Here is a 17,045-nt window from a genome sequence, read left to right on the forward strand (position 1 = left end):
AGACATATTTATATGTACATACACACAAAAATACACATATAAATATACTCTCATAAACCACTCAACATAAAAGTCACTGTAAAAGGACACGAGAACTTGTTGGAATAATGAAAATGTTCTACAATTGGATTGTGATGATAGCTGCACAACCCTATAAATTTCAAAAAAAAAAAAATCTAAAAAAAATCACTGCGGGCACAGTGGCTCACGCCTGTAATTCCAGCACTTTGGGGGGCCAAGGAAGGGTGGATCATGAGGTCAGGAGTTCAAGACCAGCCTGGCCAAGATGGTGAAACCCCATCTCTACTAAAAATACAAAAATTAGCCAGGCATGGTGGCAGATGCCTGTAATCCCAGCTACTGGGGAGGCTGAGGCAGGAGAATTGCTTGAACCCGGGAGGCAGAGGTTGCAGTGAGCCAAGACTGCACCACTGCACTCCAGTCTGGGTGAAAGAGTGAGACTCTATCACAAAAAAAAAAAAAAAAAAAAAAAAAAAAAAAAAAAATCACTGAATTGTACGGTTTGCAATAGATGAATATTATGGTATATTATAAATTATAATTCTCATATATATAGCTTTTTTCTTTTTTTTTTTTTTGAGATAGAGTTTTGCTCTGTCACCCAGGCTTAAGTGCATTGGTGCAATCATTGTTCTATGTAACCTTGAACTCTTGGGCTCAAGCAATTCTTCTGCCTTGACCTCCCAAAGTGCTGGGATTACAGACACTAAGCCACTGTGCCAGGACTATCTTGCTGGGTTTTTTGTTGTTGTTATTTGTTTTTTAAGCAAGATTTTAATGGGGAAACACTAAAGGTTTTAACACTAAAGATTAGAAAAACAAGGACTCCACTACTATATAACATTATGTAGGCAATGATCAATTAGACAAGAGAAAGCAATTAGAGGCATAATAACTGGGGTGGGAGTAGGGTAGAAGCGAAGCTATTGCTATATCTATTATTTGCAAATAATATACTTAACTGAAAAATTCAAAAGAATCCATGAAAAAACTATTCCAAGCAACAAGAAAATTTAGTAAAATAGGACATAAAATTAGCATACATAAAGACACCAGTCTTCATACATACAACGTAACAGTAAGAAGAAATAAGGGGGGCGGGGGCAGCAAAGTAAAAATAGAAAAAGAAAGTATAAATAGAGATGAAGACCTCATTTACAACAGCAAAAATCAAAATAGGCTTAAATTCAACAACAGAAACAGTACAAAATCTATATAAGGAAAACTACAAAACATTCCTGAAAGTGAACAAGACAAAAGAGAAACCATGTTCTTGGAAAGAAAGCTTCAGCATCATAAAGGTACTGGATCTCCCTAAGATAATCTATTAATTTAATGCAATCCTAATGAAATACCTTTAAGGTTTTATTTTTTCCTGAGGCAAGAAAAGTTGATTATAAAATTAATTTGAAAGAACAGACAAGCAAAAATAGCTAGAAGAATGCACCCTGTCGGAGATTAAAACATCTTATAAAACTTCTATAATTAAAACAATGTGATACAGGCATGTGAATCAACAAATGGAACAAGATATAGAAATACACATACCTATGGAAATTGAGTATGTAATAATGGAGACATCTCATTTGGCGGGGAAAAGACTTTTTTAATAGGTGGTATTATTTCATTGGTCTATCTTATTTTTAAATGAGACATTAATTTTGCTCATTTTGAACTTCTTATATTTGAAATCATTCAGTATGCTCTTTACTGTGTTAACTCTCTTCACTCAACACTACTTCTGTGAGAAACATGAACACTGTTGCATCTATCAGTTAATTTACCCATTATACTGCTGATGAACATTTGGCTATTTCCAATATTTGGCAATTATGAATAAAGCTGCTATAAGCACTCCTGCATGAGCTTTCTGGTAGACTTACGTGGTCATGGTTGTTAGGTCTATATACCCAGGCTAACCAATGTTACTGAAAGTGAGACAACCCTACTGCATCCTGATGTGATTCAACAAGAAAATCAGACCTAAATCTAACCAAGCCATTAGAGAAATATGTTAAATGATGCCTTAAGTATGCAGTCAACCAAGTTTAGAATAACTCAGTTTCTTCCAAATATATGACATGGAGTTTATAGAAAAAAAGTAAGATGGAAAGAAAATATAAATTAAAAGTAACTTAAGAGACATGTCAATGCACTGCAGAGAGTATCCGGATTTATTTACTCTTGAAAATTTCCATGACAAGGCCGGGCACAGTGGCTCATGCCTGTAATCCCAGCACTTTGGGAGGCCAAGGAGGGTAGATGTAGATCACTTGAGCTCAGAAGATCAAGACCAGCCTGGGCCACACAGTGAGACCTTGGCTCTACAAAAATATGAAAATTAGCCGGGTATGGTGGTATGCACCTGTAGTCCCAGCTACTCAGGAGGCTGAGGTGAGAGAATTACCTGAGCCCAGGAGTTCAATGACGCAGTGAGGTATGATCGTGCCAGCCTGGGTAACACAGTGGGACCTTGTCTCAAAAACAAAAACAAAAAAACAAAAAAAGAAAAGAAAAGAAAAGAAAAATTTCCATGATAAAAAATTAAATAAAAAATAAACTTATGGGCCAGACACAGTGGCTCACGCCTGTAATCCCGACACTCTGGGAGGCTGAGGCAGGCGGATCACAAGGTCAGGAGATGGAGACCATCCTGGCTAACACAGTGAAACCCCGTCTCTACTAAAAGTACAAAAAATTAGCTGGCTGGTGGTACATGCCTGTAGTCCCAGCTATTCGGGAGGCTGAGGCAGGAGAATTGCTTGAACCCGGGAGGTGGAGTGTACGGTGAGCCAAGATCGCACCACTGCACTCCAGCCTGGGTGACAGAGTGAGACTCCGTCTCAAAAAAATAAAAACAAAAAATAAACTTATGATCTAAATCAAATACTAAGCTATTAGTTCTTAAAGGAAGTATAAAGTTAGTATAGAATATCTTGTTTTAAAAGTTACCTAGTTGGCATTTACCCAATAACCTCTTCAATTTTTATTTAAAACAGTTTTATAAAGGGGAAGGCAGAAGATCAACTAAAAGTTACTTTCCTCTTTGAAATGACCTTCAAACTTATTTTATCACAAAAGTATCAGAAGGCAAGAAACTGAAAATCCAGAGAAACACCAAAAAAAGAGATAGGATTGACATACGCTGTAACAGTTAATAACTGAGTATGTTTTTCTGAATTTTCAAGATATGATGATGATAAGAGGAACTATTTTTACCCTAATCTGAAAGTTAAGTCCTAAGGACTTTAAAACTTCATGTACATGCCGGGTGCGGTGGTTCACGCCTGTAATCCCAGCACTTTGGGAGGCTGAGGTGGTTGGATCATGAGGTCAGGAGATCGAGACCATCCTGGCTAACACAGTGAAACCCCATCTCTACTAAAAACACAAAAAATTAGCCGGGCGTGGTAGTGCGTGTCTGTAGTCCCAGCTACTCAAGAGGCTGAGGCAGGAGAATTGCTTGAACCTGTGAGGTGGAGGTTGCAGTGAGCCGAGATTGTGCCACTGCACTCCAGCCTGGGTGACAGAGCGAGACTCTGTCTCAAAAAATACAAATAAATAAATAAATAAAACTTGATGTACATATGGTTGGGAGCCTAATTTTATATAAATATGTACATTTCTACATCAAATTGATTTTTAAAAATCAAAACTTAAAAACAGAAAGCACAAATTCATTTCAACTGTTAGTAAATGTAAATGTCTAAATTAAAGAGAAGGTAAGAAAAACTTGTGAAATGATTTGGGAGTAATACCACAAGATTTGCAGCCAACTTTTCAAAAGCCTATGAATTTCAAGAGAGATCAACCAGGAGCTTATGCAAGTAAGATGTTATAGGTAGAAAAGGATCACAAAATAAAACAGTAGCTCTATTGTGAAGGAAGCTTCTTTGTTAGCTTGGGCAAATCTTTGTATTTCTATCAAATTCTATATGTAAAAGCAAACTAAGGAAATATAACATTATGTTCTATAGTCAGATCTAACAATTCCAATGAAGATTAAAATTGTAGATGAAATTATAAACACGAAACAAATGGTCAATAGTGGATAGAAGTAGTATGACTAGGAAAACAGAACGTAATAACTGTTTTTCTTCTCTTATGGACAAGACTCCTAATATCAAATATCCAAATTGTATCAAAGACTCATACATACAAGTAAAGCACTAAGACATTTATTATACCATATCATTGGCTAGATGAGGCTCAAGGATTAATGTCATAGTATTCTCCTTAAATCAATTCAAAAGATTCACTTGAATATTAGCTACCAAAACAAAGTATGGATGAAACACATTTAAATTTTCATTTACTAAGAGCAATTGTAATCTAAAGAATGAAATGCAAATTTGTATTTGAAGACTGCTGCCAGAAACTCTGTCTATAAAAGCATAATCACAACCACATAAAAATAATATGGCAGCATAAAGAATACAAAATGGACATAAGAGTTTGATAGAACAGCAAGTTCAAGTTCACAAGTGATTTCTTTTTCACTTACTGTTACTATGATACTATGGTTCTTAGAAGATTTTAAATGCTAATTTCATATTTAAAATTCTAAATACGCACGTTATTTTAGATTGATCACTGAAAAGGAGAAAATTCTATTAAATAAGCAATAGGTCATCTAAATAAAGAATCCAAAGTCATAACACAGAATCACAGAACTTTAGGGTAGCAAACAGTCTTAGAAGTCTTGGCCTCAGCCTCCCAAGTAGCTAAGACCACAAGTACACACTATCGCACCCAGCTAGTCTGTATTTTTTATAGAGATGAGGTCTCCCCAGGTTGCCCAGGCTGGTCTCAAACTCCTGGGTTCAAGCAATCCTTCCGTCTCAGCCTCCAGTGTGATTATGTGATTACAGGTGTTAGCCACTGTGCGTGGTCCTAAGAGGCTTTAGATAAGAGTGGTATACAGGCCCACCCTACTACGTCATGGCAGGGGTGAGACTGGAACACAGGACAGGTGTCCCTAAGTCCACTGATCTTTCCTCTATCCCAGTGTTGTCCAAACCTCAGTAATTTGCATACCACCATCAACATTTTTCTGAGTGTCAAGTGCCGGTATCACTATATAATATTTTTCTCAATTCACTTAAAATAACAAAAAACCAAAACGCATTCTTCTCATCCCATCCCTGCTCCCCTTTTATAATTGTGGTAAAATATACATAACAAAATTTACCATTTTAACCATTTTTAAGTATACAGTTCCGTATACTCACAATGTTGTGCAACCAGCACCACTATCCATTTCCAGAACTTTTTCATCACCCCAAACATGGTCTGTACCCATTAAACATTAACTGTCCATTCCTTCCCCCCACCACCCCCTGGTAACCTCTATTTTACTTCCTGTCTACGAATTGGACTATTCTAGGAACATTTTAAGTGAAATTATAGAATAACTGTCCTTTTGTGTCACGTTTATGTCACTGTACATAATGGTCACAAAGTTCATCCACGTTGTAGCATGTATCAGAATCTCAACTCATTTTTTTAGAAACATTTTATTAACCCTAAACTATTAAGACTTGCATGTGGGTACAACAATAAAGGGAAAAATATTAAGACCTATGAAACCACCAATTTGGTATATTAGATTATACATTTTCCTAATCAGCATTAAATTTCCTATAATTTAAATGTTCACCTGAATATAATCTAAAAATATCTACCAAATCGCCAGTAGTATGTCAGCACATTAGAAAACACAGCACTATACAAAAACACACTACTACAGATCAAAGGCAAGTAGAATATCACTAAAGTGTGAAAACAGAAATTAGTGATTCTTCATTCTCTTTTTCAAGTAAGGTTTTTTAACAGAAAAAATGACTTCTCGGCTTATTTTTATTACTGTCAAAGATTTTTTTCATATACAAAATGTTACTTAAATACAAAACAACCCTGTGTCCCAGAGTCTGACAATTTAGATAACCTCAAATTTGCATACAGAAGAGCACCAGGGGAGAAACCCCTTAGTTAAATGTTGTGATTTCTGAACACGGTTTAAAAACAACTGTATCCATCATAGCTTTTAATATGAAAAAAACTGGAAAATACTTCCCTAATTCCAAAGGCCCAGACACACACACACCTATACCTCTCTTCTAAAATATTTTTATGTTTGCAAATCTGTTCTGAAATCCATTACTTTTGTTTCCAGTCATTCTCAGTGCTAAATTTTATTCGAATTTAAAGGAAGATGAAAGAATTAGAAATTATTATTATAAATCAGTAACAGCAGCAGGTAACATTTATTGAGAAATATCCCTTTATCAGGCTTTAGAGAGACTGTCACATTTACTATATAACAAGGAACTCCTATCTGCCCCATTTGATAGATGAAGAAACAGTTTTGGAGTTCAAGAGACTTGACTAACATCATACCACTAGTAAGACTAGAGAAATATGAACCTAGGCAATCAGATATACTTTTAAATATAATTATTTTTATTAAATATGCAAAATCAAATATAGTATTTGTCATGGTTACATAACATTTTCTTTTGTAAAATATAACGATTATATTATTAAATATTCTATTCACATATTACACGAGAAAGAGCACTAGAAATGGAATTCTGTGACCTTGGCTCTGGGGTCAGCTCTGCCGCTAACTAGCTTTATGACCATAGGCAAGTTACTTACCCTCTTTAGGCTTCTGTACTCTCATTGGTAACGTGATGCAACTGGACAGGATAATCCTAAAGACCTTTTCACCTCTAAATGCTTGGAATTGTTTTTTTTGTTTGTTTTTGAGTCTTGGTTAATTTAAGACTATGTAAATTGCAAGCCTAACAGTGGTTCTGCTACTATAGTTTAGAGAGGCAGCGGAAGGGTGGTAAAGTTCCAGAGAGAAATATAGGTTGCTATGATAAATCCCTTGCTTCTCTCTCTTTTTTGTTGTTTTTAAGCTTCTGTTCTATGTTATGTAACTGTAAAGCTGTCAGATCAAATTCTGTCAAGTACTTTATGCTCTGTCCATGAGATAAACCAAAAGGCCTAACTAGATTCTACATGAATGAGAAAGCTTAATGTAGCCTTAAGTGAACTCATCAAAAAACTGACACAGAATGGACAGCGAAGTGTAAAAAGTGTCCAAACTAATTTACAAATTAAGCGAATGGTATGCTCATTAATCCAGGGTAAGCTGTATAAAAACATAATACCAAGACCTCTTATATAAGAGATCTAAGATCATGAGCATCTGCTATATTGTATCTACCTTTTAATAATTCCTTTTTCCCAAAAAAATTATGTATTTGACAGAATGGATAACCTTAAGAAAAGCATGAAAAGAGTTAGAAAACAAATTTATATTATTGTGATTTTTTCCCTATTTATTGTTGATTACTGGATGCCAACTATATTCTGAAAAGATGGGAACATATTCTACATGTTCAGCTCGTAAGTTATTTCATGATTCTTACAGGTTACTGCTATTATTTGGGGGCTTTGTGGAGAGAGGCAGACCCAAAAAGAAGTATGTACACTATAGAGCTGAAAGAATTCTCAGGGAAAAAAATAATTATCTCAACCAATCCAATTCATGATCCTAACTCTCACAATGGTCTCTCCAACACCGAGAATAGGTTAGGTATCCAGGCAACATAATCAGCAATGCTCTCAACCTTATTTCTGAACCTTATTATGATTCCTCTCTTGATCCCTCCCTTTTCTGTTTTCTAACATCATTTCCTTCCCTAATTAACCTGGGCCCTGTACTACATCAGCTCAACTAATCCCTTTACCTTACTTTTTCTTCCATCACTCCTGCCCTACACAAGGTCCTAAACGCTAGATTCCTCTAACCACTCATCTTTTTCTACTATGAGAGCCGAGTTTTTGAATATGACAAAATAACTGCTACAACTATCAAAATCTCAGATGGGCCTCAACACTGTTCAGCAATCCTTTTCTGTTTTCTGGGAAAGTAAAAACATTTAATTATGTATGGGTTAGGACGGCCTATAAATTAGGTAATAGAGCAGGAAGTTGAATGGGATTCATATCTGTTGGCTCTCCTTATTTCAAGCAGGAAGCAAAACCATCTTTTGAAGTTATAACCACTAATCCGATAGTGGACTATGTGCCAGGTTCTATTCCGAACACTTCACGTGTATCACCTGATGTAACTTTTATCTAAAACCCATGAGGTGGGTGTTTTAATTCTCTTCACTTGGCCGAAAAGGAAACAAAGACACAAAGTGGCTGAGTAACTTGTTCAAGGCCACACTACTAGTAAGCAGCAGAGCTAGTATTTGAACCCGGCAGTCGGACTCCGATGTCTGTTTTTTTCCATCACATTGGTATGTCTGAAAGCACAGCATCTCAGGCAGCCCTAATACGGTTAAAGATTGCTTAATATATGTCAGGGGAAGTGTTCCAAGTATTCTTTCCAACTCAAGGTTTAATTCTCTCTTCATGTACAGGAAAATACTCCTAGATAAGAAATCATTTAAGCATGAAGATACTGCGTATTTGGTATGTTTTAGGCCTTCAAAAGCAAAATCCAGCTATATTGCAAAGGATTTTGAGAGTGTGTGAAAGCTGGTATAAAATACTGGTTAAGGGAGTGTATTCTTGAGCCAAACTAACAGGATTACTAGCTATGTAACCATGGGCAAATTACCTGAACATACAGAACACATAGAGGAAAATTCCTTCTGGTTGAGAAAGGAATAAACTGCTGCAACTAATAACTAGAAATCAATCAAAACTTTTGCATCTAAAAAGAAAAAACTCAGAGGCAAATTATAACCAGTATGACTTATACAATCTAATACCTTAATACAGATGAATAATGCAGTGTTTTTTTTAAAAGCTAAGATGCAAATAAATAAGCAAAGGTCATGAATAGAAAATTCATAAAACAGGAAAAACAAACCACTTCTTTTTTTGAAAAAATGCCTACTTGCATTAGTTTTTTGCTTTGTTTTTGTTTGTTGTTAGAGACAGAATCTCACTCTGTCACCCAGGCTGGAGTGCAGTGGCACGAACATAGCTCACTATAGCCTCAAACTTCTGGGCTCAACAATCCTCGTACATCAGCCTCCTGAATGGCTAAGAATACAGGCACATGCCACCACACCCAGCTAAGTTTTTTAAAAGATTAATATGTCTGTACAGCAAAGTCTGGAAGGATACATTATAGTGTTAACAGTAATTACTCCTGGTAAGGTGAAGGAAGAAGAGAGAGGGCCCCAAGGCAGGAAACACAAGAGAAGAAAGTCAATTCCCCTTAGGGCCTCCTTCCTCCAGTAGCTCACTTCGTAGTGCAGTCTCTCTTGGATACGGCCTATCTTGTGATAGGCAAAATTTGGGTTACATGCCTCCATCCTAATTCCAAGGGAGACAAAATATCAATTTTTAGTGTTCCACCCTGGGGAGCCAAAGCAGGACTCATAAGGCTGAAATGAAACTCATAAAGTTATTTCAAAGGTGCTCAACAGTTGGAACACAAAATACATACTGAATTACCACACCCAGGAATGGATGATAAATCATTATCTTAATATCTATATTCTATGAACAGGAAATAGAGAATGCTACTTACTTGCCTCGAAACATTTGCAAAAGCCTAACAATAAATTAATAGATATTTAAGAGAGAAAGAAATAGAAATGGGCTTGTAATTGAAGCTTCCACATGATCCTACTACATACTGTAGTACAGTAAAGTAATACATTTGCCTGTGGAATATGTCAGCAACTCTGGTACTTCACAACCCAGACTACTAAATACTCTTTATAAATCAGCAGTGTACAAAGCTCAGGAAAGAAAAAATAAGCACTTAAATTAATAAATCATAAAATTGTGTCCATTTCAACACTGACAATATAAAATTTCTTACATTATACCTGGCTTCTCTACCACGTATCTGACTATACAGGGACTTTAGTAAAGTTAACAGGGATTGGACATAGTAAACCTCCAGGATACAACCAATTTTTAAAAACACGAGTCTAACTATATGTTCACTGTTGTAGATATTTTTAACATAAAATATCACAGAGATTTGTCTCATTTAGAACAATGAAGACTGATGTTTTCATTTTAAAGGAAACATGTCTAACTCACAACAAAAGCAAAAAGAAACCAAAACTTGGCACTTAATTTTGGCATACCATTTGCGAAATATTCTGCTGAGTCACAATCCCCATCACTACCCGACCAAACTCCCTAGTATTTTCACTAGACAACTAAGAAATATAACCATGGGCTGCCATTATATAGCAGAGTATCTCAGCAATTTGGAAAAATGGCAGCCCCTGAACCACAGGCTCTCCAATTCTGTGCTTTTGGGCCTCTCCAACTCTGCACTTGGAGCTATGGCCTCATTAACCTGCTTGTGCTACTCTCTTGCAAACTCAGGTGGGCTTATTTACCCAGATTCAGTACAATTCTTACCTCTCATTGGCAGCAGGCCCATGGGAAGAAGGTACAAGAGACAGTAGTCTTATCTAACTTCAAAGCATATTTACTAAATAAATGAATGACTGAATAAAAGTTTGTATAAATAAACCAAACACTGGTGCTAGGAGGAAGAGCTGCCACAGATGAACAAGAACATGCTGCTAGATAAAAAGTAACAGATGTCCTTTCAAGAGGCAGATAGTGGGGAAGACCCTCAAAAAGAATATGCTGAATGGATGACTGAAAGTACACCGAGAACGGCAAGTAGTTGGATTTACCAAGAGAGTTAAGGTATATAACGGCAAATGGTGGTGGAAGTACTAGGAAAATAAATTAAGGACAGAACATAGCAGGCCAAGAATCCCAGATTAAAGAATTTAGACTTCACTTGGTATACAAGCAGCAGGCCATTAAGGGACCTTGGGCAGGGAAGAGACATTCAAGGCTATTCTTTAAGACAAATTACCTGACAGCTACATATAGGTTGGATTGGTAGGAAGAACTGAAGGGAGACAAGTTGAGGTGCTGCTATGGTAAGTACCTTGTGCATAAATCTTTTAATATACTTATCACATAACAATACATAATACATAATAATGTGGTTCATTTTTCTTCATCTGTCTCTCCTACCAGGCTCAGACCTCCAGAGAGAAAGAATCTACTTTTTCAGCACATGTAAAAAGTGAGGATGAGCCAAATGATCACTGATAGCCCTTCTCATTAATAACATACAGGTCTACAATGGATTACTTTCCTTCCAAGCACTTATAGCTTAGCTGGAGATGGAAGCTAGGAAGAAAGGTCTTAATTTACAAAAGGATAATAACCTCAAAATGTCATTTACAATCTTTTTTTAAACTCAGAATGTATTTTCTGATGATAATAACAAGAGAACCACCATTTACTGATTGCTTATCTTGCACCTCGCATTGTGTTGAAACACTCTACACATCTCATTCCTCGAAATGATCCTATGAATCAGGTATTCCTATACACCCTTTCTGAATGAGGAGCCTCAGATGTGGAGAGGTTAAGTAAGCTGTCCAAGTTCACACAGTTAGGAAGTGGCCAAGTCCAGCTCTGAGCCTAGGCAATCTGTCTCCAGAGGGGTTTAACCTGGTGGCCAGGTTTAAAGGTCAAGACAACAGGCCAACATAATCCATGATGTATCTAAGTGTAATAAAATTAAAGAATGTAACAACCAGATTATTCAGTCTCTGCTTAGGAGTTAAGTGTTTTCAAACCTTGCAATATAGTTTCTTCGGACTTTCTATATCTAATCACTGTGACCCATCTTCAGAATTTTTTTTTTTTTTTTTTTTTTTTGAGACAGAGTCTTGCTCTGCTGCCCAGGCTGCAGTGCAGTGGCGCCATCTCGGCTCACTGCAAGCTCCGCCTCCCGGGTTCACGCCATTCTCCTGCCTCAGCCTCCCGAGTAGCTAGGACTACAGGCACCTGCCACCACACCCGGCTAATCTTCTTCAGAATTTTTAAATGGTTACTACACAATAAAAATGAAGCCAAGTGTTTTAAAGCTGAAGTTAAAAAAAAAAAGAAACATAAAAACTGATGAAGTAAAATGCCTACCCAATATATCTTTTATTTTTAATTTTTGTGGGTACCTAGCAGTGTATATATTTATGGGATACATGAGATATTTCAATCCAGGAAACAATGCATAATAATCACACCAGGGTAAATAATCATATATAGGTCAGGCGCAGTGGCTCACACCTGTAATCCCAGCACTTTGGGAGGCCAAGATGGGCAGATCACCTGAGGTTAGGAGTTCAAAACCAGCTTGGCTAACATGGTGAAACCTCATCTCTACTAAAAATACAAAAAATTAGCCAGGTATGGTGGCGGATGCCTGTAGTCTTAACTACTCAAGAGGCTGAGGCAGGAGAACTGCTTGAACCTAGGAGGTGGAGGTTGCAGTGAGCCAAGACTGCACCACTGCACTCCAGCCTGGGTGACACAGCGAGACTCCATCTCAAAAATAATAATAATAATAATAATAATCACATCCATCACCTGAGGCATTTATCCTTTGTGTTACAAACAACCCAATCACACTTTGTTATTTTTAAATGTAGAATACATTGTTGACTATCATCACACTGTTGAGCTGTCAAGTGCTAGATCTTCTTCATTCAATCTAACTATGTTTTTGTACCCACTGACCAGACTCACTTCCTCCCACCACCCACTACCCTCCCCAGCCTCTGGTGACCATCACTCTACTCTCTATCTCCATGAATTTAATTGTTCTAATTGTTTTAGCTCCCATAAATGAGAGCATGCAAAGTTCGTCTTTCTGTGTCTGGCTTATTTTACTTAACATAATGATCTCAAGTTCCATCCATGTTGTTGCAAATAATAGGATCTCATTCCTTTTTATGTCTGAATACTACTCCATTGTGCATATGTACCATATTTTCTTTATCCATTCATTCGATGATTGACACTCACGTTGCTTTCAAATCTTAGCTATTATGAATAGTGCTGCAATAAACACGGGAGTGCAGAAATCTCTTTGATATACTGATTTCTTTCTTTCTTTTGGGTATATACCAAGCAGTGGGATTGCTGGATTATATGGTAGCTCTATTTCTAAATTGTGAGGAACCTTTAAACTGTTCTCCATAGTGGTTATACTAATTTACATTCCCACCAACAGTGTATGAGGGTTCAATTTTCTCCACATCCTCACCAGCATTCGTTACTGCCTGTCTTTTGGATGAAAGCCATTTTAACTAGGGTGAGATGATATCTCACTGTAGTTTGTTTTTTGTTGGCTTTTGCTTTTGTTTTTCAGACAGGGTCTGCTCTGTTGTCCAGGCTGGAATGCGGTGGCACAATCCCAGCTCACTGCAGCCTCCATCTCCTAGGCTCAAGAGATCCTCCCACCTCAGCCTCCCCAGTAGCTGGGACGACAGGTATGCACCACCATGTTCAGCTAATTTTTTGGTATTTTTTGTAGAGATGGGTTTTCACCATGTTGCCCAGGCTGGTCTCGAATTCCTGAGCTCGAGCAATCTGCCCACCTTGGCCACCCAAAGCGCTGGGATTATAGGCATAAGCCACCGTGCCTGGCCTTATTGTAGTTTTGATTTCCATTCTGCTGATGATCAATGATGTTGAGTACCTTTTCATATACCAGTTTGCCGTTTGTATGTCTTTTTTTAGGAAATATCTACTCAGATCTTTGGCTCATTTTTTAATCAGATTATTACATGTTTTCAACTATTGAGTTGTCTGAGTTCCTTATATATTCTGGTTATTAATTCCTTGTCAGATAGACAGTTTGCAGATATTTTCTCCCATTCTGTGGGTTGTCTCTTCACTTTGTTGTTTCCTTTGCTATGCAGAAGCTTTTTAACTTGACATGATCCCACTTATCCATTTCTGCTTTGATTGCCTGTCTTGTGGGGTATTGCTCATGCAATCTTTGCCCACGCCTATGCCCTGGAGAGTTTTCCCAATGTTTTATGTTAATGGTTTCATAGTCTGAGGTCTTAGATTTCAGTTTTTAATCCATTTTGATTTGGTTTTTGTATATGGCAAGAGATACAGGTCTAGTTTCATTCTTCTGCGTATGGATATCCAGTATTCCCAGCACCATTTATTAAAGAGATTTTCCTTTCCCCAGTGTATGTTCATGTTACCTTTGTCAAAAATGAGTTCACTGTAGATGCGCAGATTTATTTCTGGGTTCTCTACTCTGTTCCATTGGTCTATGTGTCTGTTTTTACGCTGGTACCATGCTGTTTTGATTATTACAGCTCTGTAGTATAATCTGAGGTCAGATAATGTGATTTCTCCAGTTGTGTTCTTTTTACTCAGGATAGCTTTGGCTATTCTGGGGTCTTTTGTGGTTCCATATACATTTTAGGATTTTTTTTTCTATTTCTGTGAAGAATGTCATTGGTATTTTAATAGAAATTGCATTGAATCTGTAGATTGCTTTAGGTAATATGAACATGTTGACAATATTGATTCTTCCAATATATGGACATGAAATATCTTTCCATTTTTTATGTACTCTTCAATTTCTTGCATCAATGTTTTATAGTTTTCATTGCAGACATCTTTTACTTCCTTGGTTAAGTTTATTCCTAGGTATTTTGTTTGGACAAATATTTATTTAATGAGTTACTCCAAAATAGAGCTAGGGGAAAAATAAAATACACTACATTGCACTATAGTTTTTTAATCATCCATTGCTGAAGGACAGAGACAAAAAAGAAGACCTTGAGATTTAGATGATACTAGATTAAATATGAACCATAACCAAGGTTTTTTTTAAGATTAAATAAATTTTCCATCTAGGGAGGGAAAAACATCCCTACATTTTTCATGGATCAGACAGTATCTGCAGTGTTTTATTCCCTTCCAAGGGGCACATTTTAAGAAAAAAAAAAAAAAGGCCAGGTGCAGTGGCTCACGCCTGTAATCCCAGTGCTTTTGGAGGCCGAGGTGGGCAGATCACAGGGTCAGGAGATCGAGACCATCCTGACTAACACGGTGAAACCCCATCTCTACTAAAAATACAAAAAATTAGCCTGGTGTGGTGGTGGGCGCCTGTAGTCCCAGCCACTCGGGAGGCTGAGGCAGGAGAATGGTGTGAATCCCGGAGCCGGAGGTTGCAGTGAGCCGAGATAGCACCACTGCACTCCAGCCTGGGCCACAGAGTGAGACTCCACCTCAAAAAAAAAAAAAAAAAAAAAATCACACTGCAAAACTGGAATGCCTCCAACGGAGAAGGCCAAGAGGGCAAAGGATCTTGAAACCATGGTACACCAGATAAGGAACTGAAATTGGGAGAAATAATTCTCACTGGGGAAGGGAAGCAAGAAAGCTACCCTTGGCTGGGCATGGTGGCTCACACCTGTAATCCTAGCACTTTGGGAGGCCAAGGTGGGCAGAGCCAATGAACTCACAAGTTCAAGACCAGCCTGGGCAACACGGCAAAACCCCGTCTCTACAAAAAATACAAAAAATTACAGGCCATGGTGGTACGCACCTGTAGTCCCAGCTACTCAGGGGGCTGAGGGAGAATGGCTTGAGTCCGGGAGGCAGAGGTTGCAGGGAGGTAGAGGCTGCAGTGAGTCAAGACTAGACTGCACCACTGCACTCCAGTCTGGGTGACAGAGCCAGACCTTGCCGCGGGAAAAAAAAAAAAAAAAAAAAAAAAAAAAAAAACTTCCCTTAAAATATTTGAAGAAACAATATGCTGATGAAAAGTTTAGAAGTTTAGACTTATTCTGTATATCTTTAAAGGGTAAAAGAACTGAGACTTTCCAACAATAAATTCTACCCAAAAATGAATTAATTACAGTGCATGAAAACATGACCAGCCAACAAACTAGTCAAAGAATACTGTTAGTTACAGTTGGTATGTTTCCAACTAGAGACAGGAGAAACTTCTCTCTGCCCATTGTAAGTACTGTCACAGGCACAAGAACTTCCCTTGGGTCTATCCAAGCCAGTATGCCATTTTTTCCATCCATAGATGCTACTCGGATACAAAAAAATTAGTATTCTCCAAACAAAATTTATTCAGAATCACTTCTATTTCCTCTTTCATGGTTTGAAATTAATTTCAAGTATTTTTAGATATGTATTATATTCTAAAGCCAAATATCAAGATGTCTACAATTTGGGTACTTCATGGAATACTACAGTCAAAAAAAAAAAGAACAAGGCCAGGCGCGGTGGCTCATGCCTATAATCCCAGTACTTTGGGAGGCCAAGGCAGGCAGGTCACGAGATCAGGAGTTTGAGACCAGCCTGACCAACATAGTGAAACTCCGTCTCTACTAAAAATGCAAAAAAATTAGCTGGGCGTGGTGGTAGGTGCCTGTAATCTCAGCTACTTGGGAGGCTGAGGCAAGAGAATTGCTTGAAGCTGGGAGGCCAAGGTTGCAGTGAGCCCAGATCACGCCACTGCACTCCAGCCTGGGTGACAGTGTGAGACTCCATCTCAAAAAAACAAAAAAACAAACAAAAACATCGTGTCCTTTGCAGCAACATGGATGCATGCAGATGGAGGCTATTATCCTAAAGGAATTAACAAAGTAAGAAAAACCGAATACCACATGTTCTCACTTACAAATGGGAGCTAAACACTGGGTACACATGGACACAATGAGGGGAACAACAGACACCAGGGCTTACTTGAAGGTAGAGGGTGGGAGGAGTGTAAGGGTCAAAAAGCTACCTATCAGGTACTATGCACACTACCTCAGTGACTAAATCATTTGTACACCAAACCCCAGCAACACGCAATTCGCCCATTTAACAAATCTGCACATGTCCTCCCGAACCTAAAATCAAAGTTGAAAAATTAAAAAGTAAAAAAAAATTTGGGTACTTTTTTGCTAAATTTAGCTATATTTTCCACTCATGAGTATAAATAATACAGAACAATGCCATATCTAAAATTAGAAGACAGCCTCTTAGTTTGGGATCCATAAAAGCTATAGAGGGGGCTAACATTAATTATTTTCCATTTTTAAAAACAAAACAAGGCTGTGCATGGTGGCTTACACCTGTAATCCCAACACTTTGGGAGGCCAAGGCATGTGGATCAC

At 37.6% G+C, this 17,045-nt stretch overlaps 1 protein-coding gene across 14 annotated transcripts in view, besides 1 other annotated feature; it reads right to left on the reverse strand.

The window, feature by feature from the left end:
- FAM169A (family with sequence similarity 169 member A) overlaps positions 1-17,045 on the reverse strand; it is an 89,393-nt gene that overhangs the window by 64,377 nt on the left and 7,971 nt on the right. The window lies entirely within an intron of this gene.
- Positions 10,092-10,271: an enhancer, noted in NCBI's record as "active region_22676". NCBI's record gives its function as "activates an Ori minimal core promoter by ATAC-STARR-seq in GM12878 lymphoblastoid cells {active_cell/tissue: GM12878}" and the evidence as "EXISTENCE:reporter gene assay evidence [ECO:0000049][PMID:35858748]".

Source organism: Homo sapiens, chromosome 5 (genome assembly GCF_000001405.40).
Source record: "Homo sapiens chromosome 5, GRCh38.p14 Primary Assembly".
NCBI lineage: Eukaryota > Metazoa > Chordata > Mammalia > Primates > Hominidae > Homo > Homo sapiens.